This window comes from Homo sapiens, chromosome 3 (genome assembly GCF_000001405.40).
Source record: "Homo sapiens chromosome 3, GRCh38.p14 Primary Assembly".
NCBI classification, from domain to species: Eukaryota; Metazoa; Chordata; class Mammalia; order Primates; family Hominidae; genus Homo; species Homo sapiens.
Genome location: NC_000003.12, coordinates 162,049,628 through 162,070,143, shown reverse-complemented (window position 1 = coordinate 162,070,143; position 20,516 = coordinate 162,049,628). Strand labels below are relative to the sequence as shown.

Here is a 20,516-nt window from a genome sequence, read left to right as displayed (position 1 = left end):
CAGAGAACAATTATACACACAGCATACCTCAGAGCTCTGCAAGCCTGGAAACAATGGCAAATGTATTTCAATAATATAATAATATCAATAAATGTATGTTACATAATTATATGTAATATGTATTATACATTTATACATACACATTTACTATGTATAAACTTCATTAGTTTATATTATATAAAATATATAAAAATATTTAAAATATATCTATCTATAATCTATCTATCTAGCTGCTAGCTAACTACAATTCTTGATATAATACCAAGAAAAATATATAGCATTGCATGGAAGATATAAAATTTGGGACCAAGGTTAACTACTAACATCCTTTGCAAAGGAAAATGTACATATAGTTTTAATTAACAAGTAAATAAACAGTAATTGCAAATATATCAGTTAAGGTCTGTACCATACGTAGATATTGGGGAATTTTTTGTTTTTTCTTTAATTTATTGATGATTTGTTTCATTATATATTTGTTTATATGACTTCAACTTAATAGGGTACAGGTGGTAAAGAAAAAGATTATCAGTAAATAAAAGACAGAATTTATATCAATCTTTTACATTATATACATATAACTGCTGAAATTTTAAAGGAACAAAATTATTGTTTAAAAACTATACTTTTAAAGAAGGCTCTAATATGGCATTTCTGGTTAAGACTTCCTCTCTTTTATAAATTTATAAGATAGCAAATAAAATAATTGCAAATTATTATGTATAGGATGATCTCAATATTAAACATATATGGATGTGCATATATGTGCTCAAACATTATAAAAAGTTATTTTAAAATAATAATCTCCCTAAATATAATAACTATAGAATATTTAAGAGATTATAAAGACTATGACCCACACCAAACCAATGTTAATTAAGAGTAAAGAATGATTTGGTTGGGCGCGGTGGCTCACGCCTGTTATTCCAGCACTTTGGGAGGCCAAGACAGGCAGATCACGAGGTCAGGAGTTTGAGACCAGCCTGACCAACATGGTGAAACCCTGTCTCTACTAAAAGCACAAAAATTAGCCGGGCATGGTGGTGCACACCTGTAATCCCAGCTACTCAGTAGGCTGAGGCAGGAGAATTGCTTGAACCCAGTAGGCAGAGGTTGCAGTGAGCTGAGATCACGCCACTGCACTCCAGCCTGGGCTACAAAGCGAGACTCCATCTCAAAAATTAAAAGAAAAAAAGAGTGATTTGGTATCCTTTAAGATTTTTGTAGTTTTTGTTTGTTTTTTGAAAACATCCCCTTGAGTGAGTAGACTTACTGAGTAATTAGAGTTATTTCTATGTAGTTATATTAATAATTTGATGTAGACTAATTTATTTCTGCTTATATTTGTTTAGTTTGTTATTTCTTTATAATTATTGTCATTTATTTTATTTTGTAAATCATTAAAATTTTTGTAATGTTAGAACTATGTAAAACTATGTAAGAATTTATACTCATAGAAATCTCATTTATCCCCTATCTCTTTTCCCCATCCCCACTGTCCTTTCAAGTAACTAATTTTGTTAGTTTTTGGTTTATACTTCTTATGTTTTAAATACTGCTTTTTGAAAATATAAACAGGTAATGATAAATGTTTTATTTCCTCTTTTCTACATAAATGTTAATATGCTTTACATAATCTTTTGCATCTATCTTTTTTTACATAGCAATATACCCAAGGATCATCAAAATTCTAGAGTTTCTCCCTCCCTCATTCTTTTTATTTAACAGTGGCATAGTACTTCATTAGTTGGATGTAGCATGGTTTACTAAAGCAACTTTCCATATATGGACAGAAATATTTAGTAAAAAAATTAAGTTATTGAACTCCAAATATCTTTAAATTTTAATTTAGAAAAATAACTTTATGGTTTATTTCAGAAAGATAAAAAACTACTTCTAGTTAATTATTTTCAATGCATACTTTATACTCTGTTTAATTAAAACATATATAAGATGTTATGGTGTTTTATTTTGTTTACATACTCCATTTTATGTTTTTGAATAAAATTATTTTTCATGAATGTATAATAATTTTTCAATATTTCCTATTAAACATTTTACCTAAATGCCTTGCCATACCACTCTAGTACAAAAAATAAACAGTTAATAAGTCAGCAGTCCTGTGTGTGTGTTTGTATGAGTACATGTATGCATGCACATCTATTGTAGTGATCACATGGTTTTGTCTTTAGTTCTGTTTATGTGATGAATCATGTTTATTGATATGTATATGTTGAACCAACCCTACATCCCAAGGATAAAGCCTATTTTGTCATGGTGGATTAGCTTTTTGATGTGCTGCTGGATTTGGTTTGCTAGTATTTTGCTAAGGATTTTTGCATCAATATTCATCAAGAATATGAGGATGATGCTGGTCTCATCCTGGCTTTGTGGATCTTTTGAATGACTTTTCATGTCTCAATCTCCTTCAGTTTAGCTATGATTTTGGTTATTTCTTGTTTTCTGCTAGCTTTGGGGTTGGTTTGCTCTTGCTTCTCTAGTTCTTTTAGTCATGATATTAGGTTGTTACTTTGAGATCTTTCTAACTTTTTGATACTGGTGTTTAATGCTCTAAACTTCCCTCTTAACACTACCTTAAATGTGTGCCAGATATTCTGGTATGTTGTGTCTTTATTCTCATTAATTTCAAATAACTTCTTGATCGTGTCTTTATTCTCATTAATTTCAAATAACTTCTTGATCTCTGCCTTAATTTCATTATTTGCCAATAAGCCTTTCAAAAGCAAGTTGTTTAATTTCCATGTAAATGTATGATTTTGAGCAATTTTCTTCATAACAAATGCTATTTCTATTGAGCTGTGGTCCAACAGTGGATGGTTTAACTTTGGTTTTTTGAATTTGCTAAGAACTGTTTTATGTCCGATTGTGTGATGATGTTAGAGTGTGTGCAGATGAGAAGAATGTATATTCTATTGTTTTTGGATGGAGAGTTCTGTAGATGTAAATCAGATACATATGGTCATTGTTGATTCTAGGCCCTAAATGTTTTTGTTAATTTTCTGCCTCAGTGATCTATCTAGCACTGTCAGTGGGGTGTTAAAGTCTCCCACTATTGTTGTGTGGGACTCTACATCTCTTTGAAGGTCTCTAAAAACTTGTTTTTGGAATCTGAGTGGGCCTACATTGGGTGCATATGTGTTTAGGATAGTTAGATCTTCTTGTTTACTTAAACCCTTTACTATTACATAGTGCCCTTTTTGTCGTTTTTGTCTTTGTTGGCTTAAAGTCTGTTTTGTCAGAAATTAGGATTGCAACCTCTGCTTTTTTTTCTCTTTTTTATTTGCTTGGTAGATTTTTCTCCATATCTTTGAGTCTATGGGTGTTATTGCAGGTAAGATGGGTCTATTGAAGACAGCATACCATTGAGTTTTGCTTCTTTATCCAGCTTACCACACTGTGCCTTTTAATTGGGGCATTTAGCCCATTTACCTTCAAATTTAGAATCGACATGAGTGGATTTGATCCTGTCATTGTGTTTTTAGCAGTGACTGGTAATGGACTTTCTTTTCCATTTTTAATGCTTCTTTCAGGAGCTCTTGTAAGGTAGGTCTGGTGGTTAAAAAAATCCCTCAGTATTTGCTTGTATAAAAAGGATCTTATTTTTCTTTTGCTCATAAAACTTACTTTGGCCAGATATGAAGTGTATTTTTAGTAGAGATGGGGTTTCACCGTGTTAGCCAGGATGGTCTCAATCTCCCGACCTCATGATCTGCCCACCTCGGCCTCTCAAAGTGCTGGGATTACAGATGTGAGCCACCGCGCCCAGCCTAAAAAATCTTTATATTTTATCATTAGCCAAAGTTATCTGAGACATGACAACAAAACTTCAACACATTAAAAAAAAGATTAATTAAATTTCACAAAAATAAGAAAATAGAAAAAACACCAAAACTTTCTTCTATAAATGATTCTCTTAAGAAAATGAAAAGACAAAGTACAGATGGGGAGAAAATGTTTGTATATCACATATCCACAAAGGAGTTGTATGCAAAATATGTAAAGAACTCTTAAATATCAACAGCATGAAAGGAAACAACCCATCTAAAATAAACATAAACACTTGAACAGAAATTTCACCAAAGAAGATACTGATGGCCAAAAAGCACATGAAGGAACATTCAATAGCATTAGACATTATTAGGGAAATGCAAATGAGATACCTCAACATGCCTTTTAGTATGGCAAAATCTTCAAAAATACTGATGATACTATTTTTGGCAAGGATGCAGAGCAACTAGAACTCTAATAGTTGCTCTTGGGAATGCTAAACGGTTCAACCATCCTGGAAAACAGTTTGACAGTTTCTGAAAAAGTTAAACATATACCTGTCATATAACCCAGCAATCTCACTCCTGGGTATTTAACTTGGAGAAATGAAAACAAGTGTTTATATGAAATAAACAAAAGGATGTTTATATTTTCTCTATTAATAAGCACTAAACTCTGGGAATAACTCAAATGCCCTTCAATGGGTGAATGAATAAACACTCTGTGGTACATCCACTCAGTGGAATACTACTCAGCAATAAAAATAAAGAATGATTGATACATGCAACATTTGGATGACCCTCAAAGTTATTTTGTTGAGTAGATAAAGTCAGTCTTAAAAGGTCACACAACATATGATTACATTTGTATAACACTCTTAAAAGAATAAAGTAATAATAAAATGCAGATTAGTAGTGGTCAGAAATAAAGTATGAGAGGAAGGAATGATGGCAAAGAGATAATATATGTCATGTTTCCTGACAGCTGTAACTCTTTTGGATCCTGATTGTGGTAATAGTTCTTTGAATGTATACATATGTTAAATTTATAGACTCATATATTTTAAAGTCAATTTACTGAATGTTAATTTTAAAAATTAAGTTAAAAATGATCAAGAAACATGCATGGTCTTTGATCTTTTCATAAGAAACAATTAAAAGTGCTTTCCCCTGCCCTATTCTTCAAAAGGAAATGGTCTGGATGAGAACAATGGAAGGAGGCTCTCTAAGTACATTTTATGCTTTTATATTTATATGTACATATTATTTTTTTCAGAAATAAATGTAACATCTCATTCTCTCAAACGGAGCATGTGTGATTTTGTTTTGGATACTCTTTCTACAGTTTTTATCTTTACATTATTAATTAAAATATTTCCTACAAAAATAGTCCCAAAAGAAAAAGTTATTTTTATGTGCAGACAAGGAAAGATAGATTCTGCTTACTGTTTACACAACATATTAAGTGATATCACTGAATTTCAGTTCATGTGGGCTTTCAGAATTATGATATTGAAGCATGTACTTTATATGCAAATATTTTTCAAAGATCAAGCTTCTGTCTCACAGATTATAAACTGTCATATTTCACTCTGTTTGAATCTGGCATATGTTAAAGTATTCCCAGCCGTGCTTTTATCGTCACAAACAGTAAACTATTCAAAGCTCAGAGGAATGGAACTAACAGCATGTTTGTGGAGTTTCATCAAAACAGTTAAAGAGAATACAAATTAGTTAATTCATCAGTTTTATTTGTCTTGGTAATTGACTCTGCTTTTGAAACTACAACCGTAAGATTTTGAAAGGTTAAACACCATGGTTTGGGAAAAGGTGTGATAGCAGATTGAACTATTTCACTATTTTGTAAATGATGTTGACTCGCTGGACATCATACAATTTTCTCTTTAAGACCTTGGTCTCACTCAAAAGCTGGGCTGCTTTGTTTTATGGTTTAGGTACTATCAGTTTAGTATTTTTTTCTCTGTGTCATTTATTGTCTAATCTTTTTGCCTAGAAAATGAAGGGATGGTCTGATTAAACACAATTGTTCCTGATTCTATCATTAGCTAGTTTATAGAAGTATAAACTAGCTGGGGGATGTGGGACAGAAGCAGGGATGGTTGAGGTGTACAAAATATAGTTAAATAGAATGAATAAGATCTAGTATTTGATAGAACAACAGGGTGATTACAGTCAACAATATTTTACTGTACATTTTAAAGTAACTACAGCAGCATAATTAGAATGTCTATAACAGAAATAAATAATAAATGCTTGAGGTGATAGATACCCTATTTACCCTGAGGTTATTATTGTGCATTGTATCAAAATATCTCATATATTCCATAAACACACCTGCCATGTACTCATTAAAATTTAAAATTAAAAAAGTTTTATTTAACTGTGCAGGGACAGGATTTGTCCTTATATTTGGCATGCATTAAGATATAAATAATTTTAAAATAATGAGGTGAAATATAACACTATGTGAGCAATCAGGTTGCTTGAAAAAAGTCTAAACAAGGAAATTCTTCTATCTTAGACAATAAAATATTCTTTAGCACAAAGCATATTTCCCCAGTAAGAACCTATGGCTGTATCCTTGCTTAATTTTAAGTATCACCGAATATTTTAAGAGAAGCAATCTTACACTTTACCTTGTCCAATCCACAGATAAGCTCCACAGCAGAGAAGTCATGTCTGTTGGTTCAATAGTCTATCTTAACTGTCTAGTAACTACATGCTGCATAAATGAATTAATCACCTCATTTTGCAAATGCGGAATATGTAGCTCCAATAAAACAAAGAGAACTGAACCAGGTTATAGTAGATTGGGTTTCTAACAATGCTCACAAAAATATCTACTATCTCATATGCTCATTTGCAATGTAACCTTACCAGTTTCCCATCAAGAGATGGAATCCATCTCCTTTACTTTTGAACCTGCTCTTACTTCGCAGCTTGCTTTGATCGATAGAATCCAGCAATAATGATGCCATGCAACATCTGAGTCTGGGCCTGGAGAGAGCAGCAGTTTTACATCAGCTGTTCTGAATGCTTACTTCTAGGACCTACTCATGTAAAGAAACCTAGGGAGGCCATCTAGAAAGAGCCATATGGGGAGTGAGAGATAGACTCAACCTCCAGCCCATTTGCCAAGGTGCTAGACATGGGAATTAAATCATATTGGGTATTCAGGACTGTTTCCATCTTGTCATCACCACTTGAGAAATGTGTGACACATGGAAAAGAAAAATAACATACCCAAGTTCTACCCGAATGTTAACAAATACAATGGTTGTGGTTTTAAGCACTAAGTTTTGAGGTAGTTTATTACACAGCAATAGGAAACTAAAACGTACGTTATAAATCTAGTTTCGGTGGAATCCTCATAGAAAACGAGTATTTTTCCCCTCTCTACAAATGCAAAGCACTCAAACATTTACTGCTCTTTTGTTGTACAAAATTTGTGTTTCTATTCTTAATTTAAAAATAATGGATAGAACACAATACATTTATTTCTAGAGTCTCTATTTTCTGTGACATTAAGAAGAAATGCAAATAGAACTCTCAGAACACTTAGAAAGATGAGAAACTTGATTAATTAGCACCTCTACACATAATAAAGAAGATCCTAAAACTAGAATCAAAATGCGGGCATCAGGAATTTCAAGTATTTTAAGATAAATACGTTTAAATTTTCCTGTACATATAATGAAAATAGGAAAAAGTTCCTGGAGTATTGCCTCTGGATAAAGACAGCTGCCAATTCCTATAGATGTCAAATAAGTAGAAATCCAAACTACTATGCTGAGTGAGTTTTCTATAGCTCAGCATTCTTTTTGTAGCAGAACATTATCAGGCTGTAAGTTTTTGGAATTCAATCTCTTCAAATGGCTTATATTATTAGTGTTTTAAAGATAAAAGTTCTGAATAGTAAGTTATAGAAACTGAACAGGAAATATGATGAAATGAATTTAAGAACAAAAATTACATATTCAGTAGTAAAAATAATCCAAAGTTTTTATATACCATGGAACACTAAGTGATGGAAACAATTTTATTTAAATTCATGAGTATTTGTTCACGAGAATGTTATGTTCAGTGCTAAAAACTTTAAGGCAAGAGAAGGAAAAAAGGAAGGAAGTGAGGGAGGAAGAGAAGGAGGGAGGGATGGAAGAAGGGACAGAGGGAGGGAGGGAGGGAAGGATGGAGGTGAGGAAGCAAGAGAAGTGTCAGATTATTTCTTTCATTGGGGAGCTTGCAATAGAAATAGATAAAGGCAATACAGAAATGTGAAAATACTCATTACATACTTGTGATTTTAAATGCACAATCTATAAACAGACTTTTTAAACTTACTCCTGTATTACTCTCCTCAAGTCTATATATAGTCTCCTTCTAATTTTGCATTTCACATTCAATCCTCAGTCTGCAGAAATTAGGGCTCCTTAGTAATGCTCATTAGTAAAAGTAGATGAATTATTCCATTACTTACATTGCATAAGCTCTTTGAAACATGTAACAGAGTTTCAGCACATTGTCTTTTCTCAAGGTCCTTCTAGCTCCTCTTCATTATTTGACTACTTTTTGTCTGAGTTGGGTGCATCTCACCATTTATGGGTAGAAGAATTTTTTTTTTTTTTTATTGAGATGGAGTCTCGCATTGTTGCCCCGGTTGGAGTGCAGTGGCACGATCTCAGCTCACTGCAACCTCTGCCTCCCGGGTTCAAGCAATTCTCCTGCCTCAGCCTCCCAAGTAGCTGGGATTACAGCTGCCTAACACCACGCCCAGCTAATCTATTGTATTTTTAGTAGAGACAGGGTTTCACAATGTTGGCCAGGCTGGTCTCGAAACCCTGACCTCATGATTTGCCCTCCTTGACCTCCCAAAGTGCTGGAATTACAGGCATGAGCCACCGCGCTGGGCTTGTAGAAGAATTTTTAACCTCCAAATATGTTGTCTAGCCAGAATTTTGAAGTTAGATATTAAATTGCAAAAGTTAGCCAAGTTCCAGATGAGCTGCTTATCATTAGTATGTGACATTCAAAACGGAAAATGTGTTTAGTAGTGGGCATTAAATCAGTAAATTAAAAGTTAATTGCACTTAATTTTGTTTTGAACCCCATCTGGTTCCAGTTCCCAAGGAGAGTTCTATAGACGGGCAAATTTAATCATCTGAATTATGCATAGGCTCCTGGAGTTTCCTCCTTACCTGTCCCATTATAGATCTTAAGTTGTCTCTAATGCATTAAATATATTTGTCCCGATAACACCTTTGTGTTTCAAGGGTCAAAACAGAGATTTCTGTTGATGGACATATGACAAGAAACAGGAGCCTTTTAGACAGCTTGTCTCTCAGAAGTATATGTCTGGTCTGCTGTGTTTTTATTTGTGACCATATTTCTGAGTGATTTTACCCATTTCCATTCTAGTGACTTCCAAATCTATATTTTCAGCCCAGATCTTTCTTCTAAGACGAAGACAGGTGATATGGTTTGGCTCTGTGTCCCACCCAAATTTCATCTCGAATTGTAATCCCCAGGGTGTCCATGGAAGGACCTGGTGGGAGGTGAATGGATCACAGGGGTGGTTTTCTCCATGCTGTTCTCAAGACAGTGAGTGAGTTCTCATGAGGTCTGATGGTTTTAAAGTGCTGCATTTCCCATTTACTTACTCTCTTTTTCTCCTGCCTGCTTCCCCTTCACCTTCTGCCATGATTGTAAGTTTCCTGAGGCCTACCCAGCCATGTAGAACCATGAGTCAATTAGAACTCTTTTCTTCATAAATTCAGGTAGTATCTCTATAGTAGTGTGAAAATAGAATAATACAGACAATTTGTACCAGGATACTGGGAGTACTGCTATAAAGATAACCTGAAAATGTGGAAGTGACTTTGGAACTGGGTAACAGTAAGGGGCTGGAACAGAGGTTGGACAGGTTTGGAGGGCTCAGAAGATGATAGGCAGATGTGGGAAAGTTTGGAACTTCCTCGAGACTTGTTGAATAGTTTTGACCAAAATACTCATAGTGATATGGACAATGAAGTCTAGGCTGAGATGGGCTCAGATGGAGATGAGGAACTTACTAGGAACTGAAGCAAAGGTCATTTTTGCTATGCTTTAGCAAAGTGGCTGGCTGCATTTTGCCCCTGCCCTAGGGATCTGTGGACTTTGACCTTGAGAGAGATAATTTAGACTATCTGGCAGAAGAAATATCTAAGCAGCAATGCCAGGTGACCTGGTTTTTGTGAAAGCATTCAGTTATATGAACTCACAAAAAGATGGTTTGAAATCAGAACTTATGTTTAAAGGGGAAGCAGAGTATAAAAGTTTGGAAAATTTGCCACCTGACTATGTGGTAGAAAAGAAAAACCCATTCCTTGGGGAGAAATTTAAGCCAGCTGCAAAAATTTGCATAAGTAATGAGAAGCCAAATGTTTATAACCAAGACAATGGGGAAAATGTCTCCAAGGCATGTCAGAGATCTTCGTGGCAGCCCTTCCTATCACAGATCCAGAAGCCTAGGATGGAAAAACGGTTCTGTGGGCCAGGCCCAGGGCCCAGATTCTCTGTGCACCCTCAGGACTTGGTGCCCTGCATCCCAGCTCCCAGATGCTCCACCTGCAGCCATGACTAAAAGGGGCCAAGGCACAGCTCAGGCCTTTGCTTCAGAGGGTACAAGCCCCAAGCCTTGGTGGTTTCCATGTGGTGTTGGGCCTGCAAGTGCACGGAAGACAAGAGTTGAGCTTTGGGAACATTCACCTAGATTTCAAAGGATGTATGGGAACACCTGGATGTCCAGGCAGAAGTCTGCTGATAGGGTGGAGCCCTCATGGTGAACCTCTACTAGGGCTGTGTGGAAGGAAAATGTGGGTTGGAGCCCCCACACAGAGTCCCCACTAGAGCATTTCCCAGTGGAGCTATGAGAAAAGGGCCACAATCCTCCAGACCCCAGAATGGTAACTCCACTGACGGCTTACACTGTGCACCTAGAAAAGCTGCAGACACTCAATGCCAGTCTGTGAAAGCAGCTTCAGGGGCTTTACCTTCCAGAGCCTCAGGGGCGGAGCTGCCCAAGGCCATGGGAGCCCACCCCTTGCATCAGCGTGCACTAGTTGTGAGACATGGTGTCAAAGGACATTACTTTCGAGCTTTAAGACTTAATGAGTACCCTGCTGGGTTTTGGACCTGCATGGGCCCTGTGGTCCCTTTGTTTTGGCCAATTTCTCCCATTTGGAATGGGAGCATTTACTCACTGCCTGTACCCACATTGTGTTTTGGAAGTAACTAACTTCCAAAGTTTTTGATTTTACAGGCTCATAGGCAGAAAGGACTTGCCTTGACTCAAATGAGATTTTGGACTTGGACTTTTGAGTTAATGCTGGAATGAGTTAAGACTTTGAAAGTCTGTTGGGAAGGCATAATTGGTTTTGAAATGTAAAAAGGACATGAGATTTGAGAGGGGCAGGGGCAGAATAATATGGTTGTCTCTGTGTCCCATCAAAATCTTATCTCGAATTGTACCCCACATGTCAAGGAAAGGACCTGGTGGGAGGTGACTAGATCATGGGGGCAGATTCCCCCATGCTATTCTCATGACAGTGAGTTCTCGTGAAATCTGATGGTTTTAAAGTGTGGCACTTCCCCTTTGCTTGCTCTCTCTTTCTCTCTCTCCTGCCACCATGTAAGAAGGTGCCTGTTTCCCCCTTGCTTTCCATGATGATTGTAAGTTTCCTGAGGCCTCCCTAGCCATACAGAACTGTGAGTCAATTAAACCTCTTTTCTTCATAAATTAAACAGACTTAGGTAATATCTTTATCGCAGTGTGAAAATGGACTAATGCAACAGATATATTGAATAGGTTACTTATGTGACCACTTCCTGGGCCAAAAATAGCCTCTAATCAGCAATTATACAACTGAATTTGGCATCCAACATCCCACTTAAAAAGCTTCTTGTCCTACCCAACTTGTCTTGGCTAATTCACCATCTAATTATCTAAGCAGTAAAATCTAGTTATCCTCTTTGGTTCCTCTCTCCCTTCACTTGATATATCCAGTTAGTCACAAAATCTTGTCTATTTTATCCGAAAAAAATACTTTTACAAAATATATATTTCCCTCTTTCTCCAACCAACATTAGGGCCCTTAACATTTCTTACCTGGACTACTAAAATGGGTTCTTAATTTTTCCCCCTTGTTTTTTATTTATACTATCCTCAATCCATTTTCTACCATTCTACAAGGGTAATATTTTGAATACACAAATGTGATCCTGGCAACATACTGATGAATTGCTTTAAGAATATCCCCTCAACTTCAGGACAAACCCAATTCCACTTCAAGTTATAAAGGCTCTTTTCTAACTTATTAGTTTCACCTTGTGTTATTCCCATTCCTAACCCCATAATGCACAGAATCTTACTTTCCCTGAAATGTCTTCCTCTGCTCATTAGGATATGCTATTTCTTCATCTAGAAATATATATCTCCTTTATTGGCCTGTTAAAAACTCCATTCCTCACAAACTTGTATATATTCTTCCCTTCTAGGAAATGTTCATTGTATTTCACACACTCATATCCAACCACATTGGTTAAGTTGATTATTTCCTTCATTGTGCCACTTCTATATCATATAAGTAATTCAAAAATGTGTTTAGATATCTAGCTCCCCTGTTAGATCCTAAACTCCTCTGAAGAACATGAGCCATTTTCACTTGTTCATGACAAGTGCCTTGCATGTGCTAGGCATACAATACCTACTTGAAAAATGAATAAATAAATAAATGCACAAAATAATCATTAGTATGATCTTTAGGCAGTTTTGAAGTCTAATTTTCTTTGTCTGTAAAGTAGAAAATAATGCACAATTCCCCAAAAGCTTAATTTTACAAACTGTGAAATCAGAAAAGAAAAAAAAAATGTAAATGTATAACATGCAAAATTTGGGATACGGCAAATATCAGTGCTGTAGAAATTTAGAATTTCTTCCAATAAGGGCTGGAAGACTTCTATAAGTGTAAGCATTTAAGCTTGGCCTTGATGGATTAGTTAAATATGAGGAGTGGAGAGAAGAGTGGAGTGAAGACATCTCATGTGAGAACAAAATTAGTAAAATGGCTGAGATCAAAGCCAGAATAGTGTTTGTTACAGACAATAAGGTGATGTTCTTTCTGGATCAACAGTTGGGCATTTTGAGAAGTTGTGAGATATACAATTGGAGGAGACAAATGTGGCTAGTAAGCAGAAGATTTTCAATCATGTTATAAAGGTACCAATTATCATCATTAGAATATTTTGAAATACTTTGCTGCAAAATTAGAGTCATTAACATAAATAACCAGATCTTGAAATTGTAATTTTGAACATAATTTTTACATGGCTTGATCGAGTGTGAAATAGTTTATTGCAATTAAATAATGATTCTATGTATTGACACTCATTCTAACACACAAAAAGTCTCTTCAATGCTTGTTAAAAATTATTTCATGCTCCATCCCTTGTAATTCTGAGAACATTCATTTGATGTTCAGTTAAAATTTAATATCCTACCATTCCTTGAATCTGACTTTTGTTTCCTTGAGTCCTCAGTTTGGTTACACTCTATGCCTTCCCTAAGATAGTCCTATAATCTACTTTGCAAATTTCTCTTTATCCTTCAAGATAGAGTGAAAATGTCACCTCTTCCATGCTTCCATGAAGTTTTCCTGGACTACACAGGCCAGAATGACAAGCTTTTTGGGGCTCAAGTGCACCTTTTCACTCCTCGTTACTGCTCTCATATTGCTTCTTCCCAAGGCTCCTCAAGGACTAAAGTGGACCTAATTTGTATTAAACTTTAGAGCTTTATAGAATTTCTAGTAAACAGAAAGAGCTCATTGAATGTTGAAGTAACTGATAAATACTGGTAAGATAGTAATGTGTGTCGAGAGGTATTTTTTAACTGCCAACAGTCTAAGGTTAATGTTTTTATTTTTTGTTTTTATATAAAATGCTCTATTAAAAATGAATAAGCAACAAGAAAATAAAAATGTATCTGCCTATCAAATAAACAAAATTTAAAATAATACTTATGTGCTAGGTAGAAGTAAAAAGAATACTCTCACATGCTGTGGTATTAATATAAATTTCTGAAAGCAGTTTGGCAATATTTATCAAAAACTTTTTAAAAAGTTAAGTTATTTGAACAAGTAATACTGTTTCTTGCAACATTTCCTAAGGAAAACTCAGACTTATTAAGAAAATGTATGTTTAAATGTAACCAGGGAATTGTCTGTTTTCAAACATTATACAGTAAAATAGGACAAACACTTTGGGAGACTGAGATGAGAGGATTATTTGAACCCAGGAGTTTGAGTCTTCCCTGGGGCAATATAGTGAGACTTAGTTTCTCCAAAAAAAATTTTTTTTAATTAGATGGACATGGTGGCACACTCCTGTTGTTCCAGCTCCTCAGGAGGCTAAAGTGGGAGGAATGCATGAGCCTGGGAGGTTGAGACTGCAGTGAGCCATAATCGTGCCACTGCTCTCCAGCCTGGGACAAAGAGAGAGACCCTGTCTCAAAAAAAAAAAAAAAAAAAAAAGAAAGAAAGAAAGAAAGAAAAGAAAAAGAGGAACAAAATTAAAAAGAAATACCTATCTTAGAGATATTTTTGAAGACAGTGGAGACTGACTTGTATTCAAATTCTACTTCTGCCTCATACTAGCTGAGTGACTTTGACCAAGTCACTTATATTCTCCAAATTATGCCAAATTATACTTCTCACATATGTATATTGAGCATAATAATGGTAACTATTCCATAGGGTTGCTGTGAGAAAGAAAGGATCAAAAATGTAAAAAGTTCAAAACAAGTACTAACATCCAATAAGTGATCAATAATATAATCTATTATATTAATGACAATAATGATGACTGTAAGATGTGCCATTTCAATTTTGACACAGCTTAACTGCTAGGATGGCATTTTATAGAGAACTGAGGATTAAGAGACATAGAGAACAACTTCAATATTTTCTTTATGAGCATTTTTGTTGAAAATATAGAATCCTATTTTTAATTATTATTATTCTGGGCATAGTAGCATTGGATGTCAGGGTTTTCATGCTTAGGATTGATGTTATACAGTTCCTTTTTAGATATTTAAAAATACTTTATTTTTGACAGGATAATTCTGCCACCTCCCTAACTAATCATCTCAGAGCCCACACAATTATTTATATTGTATCATTAATGGTTCTTTACTTTTTTAAAGCTCAAGCAGTCTTTGTGACAATAACAAGTGAAGGTTTTAGATTATTTGAGTTGTTGGTCTCTTTGTTCTCTTTTAAAAGAGATGTCACTCAAATCTACCTCTGACTGGTACTTTCCAAAAAACAAGGAGGAAAATTTGCATTTGTCATGAAGTCATTTAAATGACTTTAGAAAAGATTGAAACATTTATAAATTTGTTTAGAGGTGCTTGCTATGAAAATGTGCTGAGTGGGTTGTTGTTTAAAAACTTATTTAAAATCATATCTGCTTGAAAATCATTTTGAGACTGCAATTAATTGTAAGTAGAGTATTAGGAATCATATGGTAACTACAAATAATTGTAAAGTGATGGATGCATATCAATCTTTTTTCTTTCTTTTTTTTTGAGACGGATTCTTGTTCTGTTGCCCAGGGTGGAATGCAATGATGTGATCTCAGCTCACTGCAACTTCCACCTCCCTGGTTCAAGCAATTCCTCTGCCTTAGCCTCCCAAGTAGCTAGGATTACAGGGGCATGCCACCATGCCTGGCTAATTTTTTTGTATTTTTAGTAAAGACAGGGTTTCACTATGTTGGCCAGACTAGTCTTAAACTCCTGACTTCAAGCAATCTGCCGGCCTCAAACTCCCAAAGTGCTGGGATTACAGGTGTGAGCCACCGCACCTGGCCCATATCAATCATTTTTGTGCCAAAACATTTACCTTGAAAGTATTTAGAATGAGACTACCCATCCAGTTAAAATTGTAACTTTAATGAAATAAAGAATAAGTAAATATATAATTATCTTTGGAAAAAGAGTATAAAAGACAGAGACAGATGAAGTGTGATTTATTTAAAATCACACAGTGCAAAATGAGACAAACAATGATGAGACATTTGCATCGGAAAGATATATTTCTTTTGTCCTGTATATGTGACTGTGTGGTGAATGTGCGCATGTTGGGGCATATGTGTGGAATTTCTACATATATGTATAATCTTTGCAAGCATACAGTTTTGTGATAACTTTAACAAACATATTGTTTATTCCTGACATTATTTTAAATTCTAGCCACCCAAAGAGTTTTGTGAATCTCTAGCCCTTGCTTTTGTATGCAATACATTTCTGTCAGTTGTCTTTGTGTAATGAGAGAGAGTACCAGGTATGCTCCACTTAAGCACAAAGGAGAAACACAGTTTTTGTGTAACTGAAACATGAAGTCTTTAAAGCTATACCATTAATTTTGGTTCCTTGCCAAGCATAATGCCAACCACTCTTAACAAGAAAGCTATTTAAGTTGGTACAGAAAGACCTTCTTTCTGAAATTTCTTATAACCTTGGTAGATTTCCCAGGCTTGTGGAGGGAGATTTGATTGTACTATGAAAATTGGCCTTTGAGTATTTAAAATATATCAGCAAATTTCAAAAATTTATACACACTGCATAGTGTTTGTATAAGTCACCTCGTATAAGTCAGTCTCATTTACTGTCTTCTTTTTGCAAAATGATGGTATGGAGTTGGTCACTATGATGTCTTCTGGCTCTAAAGCCCTCTGAAGGCACCAAAGACACTGCAGATATTAAAGTGGGTTTTCATCAATATACATTATACTGTGGACATCTGAATTGGAGGAAGTCATCAGAAGGATGAAATTATTTGGATCTGGTTAAAGATATGATGCAAGTTGTTCACTTTATGCAAAGGTGAAGAAGACTTCTGGAAACTGAGAAGACCAAGAAGGAGGAGAGAAAGTGAATGAAGGGTCACTGACCAATGTGAAACTACTTGATGCTTGCCAGCTGAACAGAACCATGATCAATGGAAAAAATAATACAGAAAATTAATGAATGGATGAATGATATGGTGAGTAGACCCAGAATCTAAAAGACAAAACAGCCAAAGTGGTGAGAAAAGGTGAGTTTTAGTAACAGAAAAACAAAACAAAGAAGAAAGAAAAAATGGAGTTGGAAAAACAACAACAAAAAGATCTTATAATATCCATAATCATAAATTGAATTTTTAAAAATAGCCTCATCCAGGACTGAAATATTATCAAATATGAAATGAGAACCTTGGTAAAATGAAGTAATATAAACAATAGCTTACATTTTTTAAATATTCAATATATTCCAAGCACTGCACTAAGACTCTAGATATAATTTTCTCAACCTAGTAACTAATGTACAGGAGTCTCCCCAGTCATTGCTTGTCTGATTAAAATGACCAAAAGAATAAAAAAAGAGTGAACAATCTGAGTCACTGCTAAAAACAACAAACTGTAATATGTAATAGCTTTGAGGACAAGAGAATGGAATCTGTTGCCCTATTTCATCCTCAAAATAGATTATAGTGCCAGACTAATTGTAGTTAATTTATGTACCCAACAGTATGAATAAGGGAGGAGATTACCCCTCATCTTGTCTTATGCCCAATTTCTGCCTCCAAAGAAAGAAGAAGTAAAAACTAAAAGGCAGAAATGAAATTCACAGGCAGACAGCCTGGTGCTGTGGCCTAGGCCTGGTTGAAGATCGACCCCTGACCTAACTGGTTATGTTATCTATAGATTCCAGGCATTGTATGGAAAAGCACTGTGAAAATCCCTGTCCTGTTCTGTTCCGTTCTGATTATTGGTTCATGCAGCCCCCGGTCACGTACCCCCTGCTTGCTCAATCGATCACAACCCTCTCACATGGACCCCCTTAGAGTTGTAAGCCCTTAAAAGGTACAGGAATTGCTCACTCAGGGAGCTTGGTTTTTGGAGACATGAGTCTTCCTGAAGCACCCGACTGAATAAAGCCCTTTCTTCTTTAACTCAGTGTCTGAGGGGTTTTGTCTGTGGCTTGTCCTGCTACATTTCTTGGTTCCCTGACAGGGAAGCGAGGTGATTAACGGACGGTCCAGGCAGCCCCTTACAAGCTTAGGCCTGCCCTGTGGAGCATCCCTCTGGGGGACTCAGGCCAGCTTGAGCAACCCGGATCCTGAGAGCACTCCTGGGTAGGCATTTGCCCTGGTAGAACACCTCATCAGAGCGGTGCACAGCAGGCCCCCATGGAGGATCAATGTAGTGGCTGAACACCGGGAAGGAACGGGCACTTGGAGTCCACACATCTGAAACTCGGTAAGACTGGTCTTTGGAACTTGCCCACTCCATTTGAGTGGAAGTGTGGCCTGATCACCCACAACATGCCTGTACCGGCACTTCAGTTTTTGTTTTTGACTTGATTTGGATTGCTTGATACTTTGGTTTTGGTTTTGACCTGGCTTGGATTTATTGATACTATGATTTTGGTTTTGATTCTGGTTTGGTGTAAACTATAAAAGTGTGTGTGTGCCCTTTTTACCCATTCTTTGTTTTGTGGTGTGCATGTGGTGTGAGCATGGTGTTTTGTCTTGAGGAAGCATGGGTCAGGCATAAAGTAAGCCCACCCCACCAGGAACTATGTTGAAAAATTGCAAGAAAGGATTTACGGGAGACTATAGAGTACTATGACACCAAGAAAGCTTAAAACTTTGTGTAAGATAGACTGGCCAGCATTAGAAGTGGGTTGGCCATCAGAAGGAAGCCTGGGCAGGTCCCTTGTTTCAAAAGTATGGCACAAGGTATCATGTAAGCCAGGGTACCCAGACCAGTGCCCGTACATAGACACTTGGTTAGGGCTGGTTTTAGACCCGCCCCTCCTCACCACAGTGGTTGAGAGAACAGCAGCATAAGCGGCTGGCAGAAGCAAGGAAAGACCAGCAGACAGAGAGAGAGGAAAGAGACAGAGAGAAAAAGAGGTAAAGAGAGAGAGGAAAGAGACAGAGAGAAAAAGAGGTAAAGAGAGAGAGGAAAAGACAGAGAGAAAGAGACAGAGAGACAAAGAGGGAGTCGAGAGAAAGAGAAAGAGAGAGGCAGAGAGAGAGGCAGAGACAGAGGCAAAAGGAAAGTCAAAGAGAGAGACAGAAAGTCAAGGAGAGAAAGAAAGAGAGAAAGAGATGAATGTACAAGTAGTTAAGAAAACAAAAATAGTGTACCCCATTCCTTTAAAAGTCAGGGTAAATGTAAAACCTATAATCGATAATTGAAGGTCTTCTCCTAGACCCTACAACACTCCAATACCACCTTGTTGTAAGGGTAAACAAGGGCATAGCCCAAAAGCACTGAGGCCACTGACAACCTGTAGGCTTCCTATCAAAAATCCTTAACCCAGTAACTGCGGATGGCCCAAATTCATTCAATCTGTAGCGGCAACTGCTTTGCTAACAGAAGAAATTAGAAAAATAACTTTTAGAGGAAACCTCATTGTGAGCACACCTCACCAGTTCAGAAGTATCCTAAGTAAAAAAAAAAAAAAAAAAAAAAAAAAAAAGATGATTTAACTTTAACGTTAACCACTGAAAATTCCCATAACCCAGCAGGTTTCCTAACAGGGGATCTAAATCTTAATTACTATACAAAGGTCCCATCAGACTTAGGAGGAACTCCCTTCAGGACAGGACAATAGATGGTTCCTCCCGGGTAATTGAATTAAAAAAAAAAGCCATCTATACCAATTCTAAGTTAATTTAGACTAAACAAGTTCTTATTAATAGCAAAGGATAATTAAAATCCCAAACTTACAAGGTTTTCAACAAAAGTAAAGTTTGCTAAAAGTTAACAGGGTAACAGGTATTATAGTAACTTCTAATCTTGTGACCTTGGACAGTCTAGTTCACAGACACAAAGAAAGTTCACTTTGGAAAGAATGGTTATCATCTCCAAAAAAAAAAAAAGAGGGAAAAAACGGGGGGCAAAATTTATGTAAAAAGAATGTTATATGGTAAATTCTTGTACTGAGATAAATCAACTGGTTGTTTAAAGAAAAAAATGTTTGTCAGAAAGTCAGAAAGTCAGAAAGTTAAGGCATGTCGAAGAATTGTCTGCGAAAGTTGTGAAAGAAAAAAAAAGTTACAAAAAAATTTTATGCAAGAAATGTTGTATAGTTTAAAAGTAATAAGGCCTCCTGAGTACTATTGAAGAAACAGTTTATGTGCAAGGTGTATAAGGAAACTAAAATGTACCTTTGGTAAAAGGATTATAAGGAGGCATAAGAATGTAAATTTTTACCTACATTAAAAGGTTAAAAAATATATTGTTTTGAAAGTTTAAGCAAGTTTTAAAACATTAATCATAAAGGAAATTCTGTGTGTAAACATATTAGCTAAAGTTAAAGGGGTATCATCCAGTTTTTCTGTGAACTGGACATTAAAGTAAAAACACAATGGGTTTTTCTTAAAGCACTAACCTGCTCTTTAACAGAAATTATAAAAGGTTAAAAAGAGTCTATAAAAATCTTACCTTATGGTCTGACATTAAAAATTGAATAAACATGTCTATAAAGTTTTATTAAAACTAAGTTTAACATTAATAGCACACTCATATAAAGGTGAAATTTAGCTTATCTGGTATAAAAATCATACAAGAAGAATTGTCAAATATAAAATGGTGTTTGGCTTCTTTGGTCTAAGAAAC

General features: G+C 35.7%; 3 annotated features.

The window, feature by feature from the left end:
• Positions 769–938: an enhancer, noted in NCBI's record as "experimental_65957 CRE fragment used in MPRA reporter constructs". NCBI's record gives its function as "activates a minimal promoter by MPRAs in K562 erythroleukemia cells, with activity observed for the introgressed 3:161787079 variant allele {active_cell/tissue: K562}" and the evidence as "EXISTENCE:reporter gene assay evidence [ECO:0000049][PMID:34662402]".
• Positions 12,207–12,376: an enhancer, noted in NCBI's record as "experimental_65935 CRE fragment used in MPRA reporter constructs". NCBI's record gives its function as "activates a minimal promoter by MPRAs in K562 erythroleukemia cells, with activity observed for both the introgressed and non-introgressed 3:161775641 variant alleles {active_cell/tissue: K562}" and the evidence as "EXISTENCE:reporter gene assay evidence [ECO:0000049][PMID:34662402]".
• Positions 12,781–12,950: an enhancer, noted in NCBI's record as "experimental_65925 CRE fragment used in MPRA reporter constructs". NCBI's record gives its function as "activates a minimal promoter by MPRAs in K562 erythroleukemia cells, with activity observed for the non-introgressed 3:161775067 variant allele {active_cell/tissue: K562}" and the evidence as "EXISTENCE:reporter gene assay evidence [ECO:0000049][PMID:34662402]".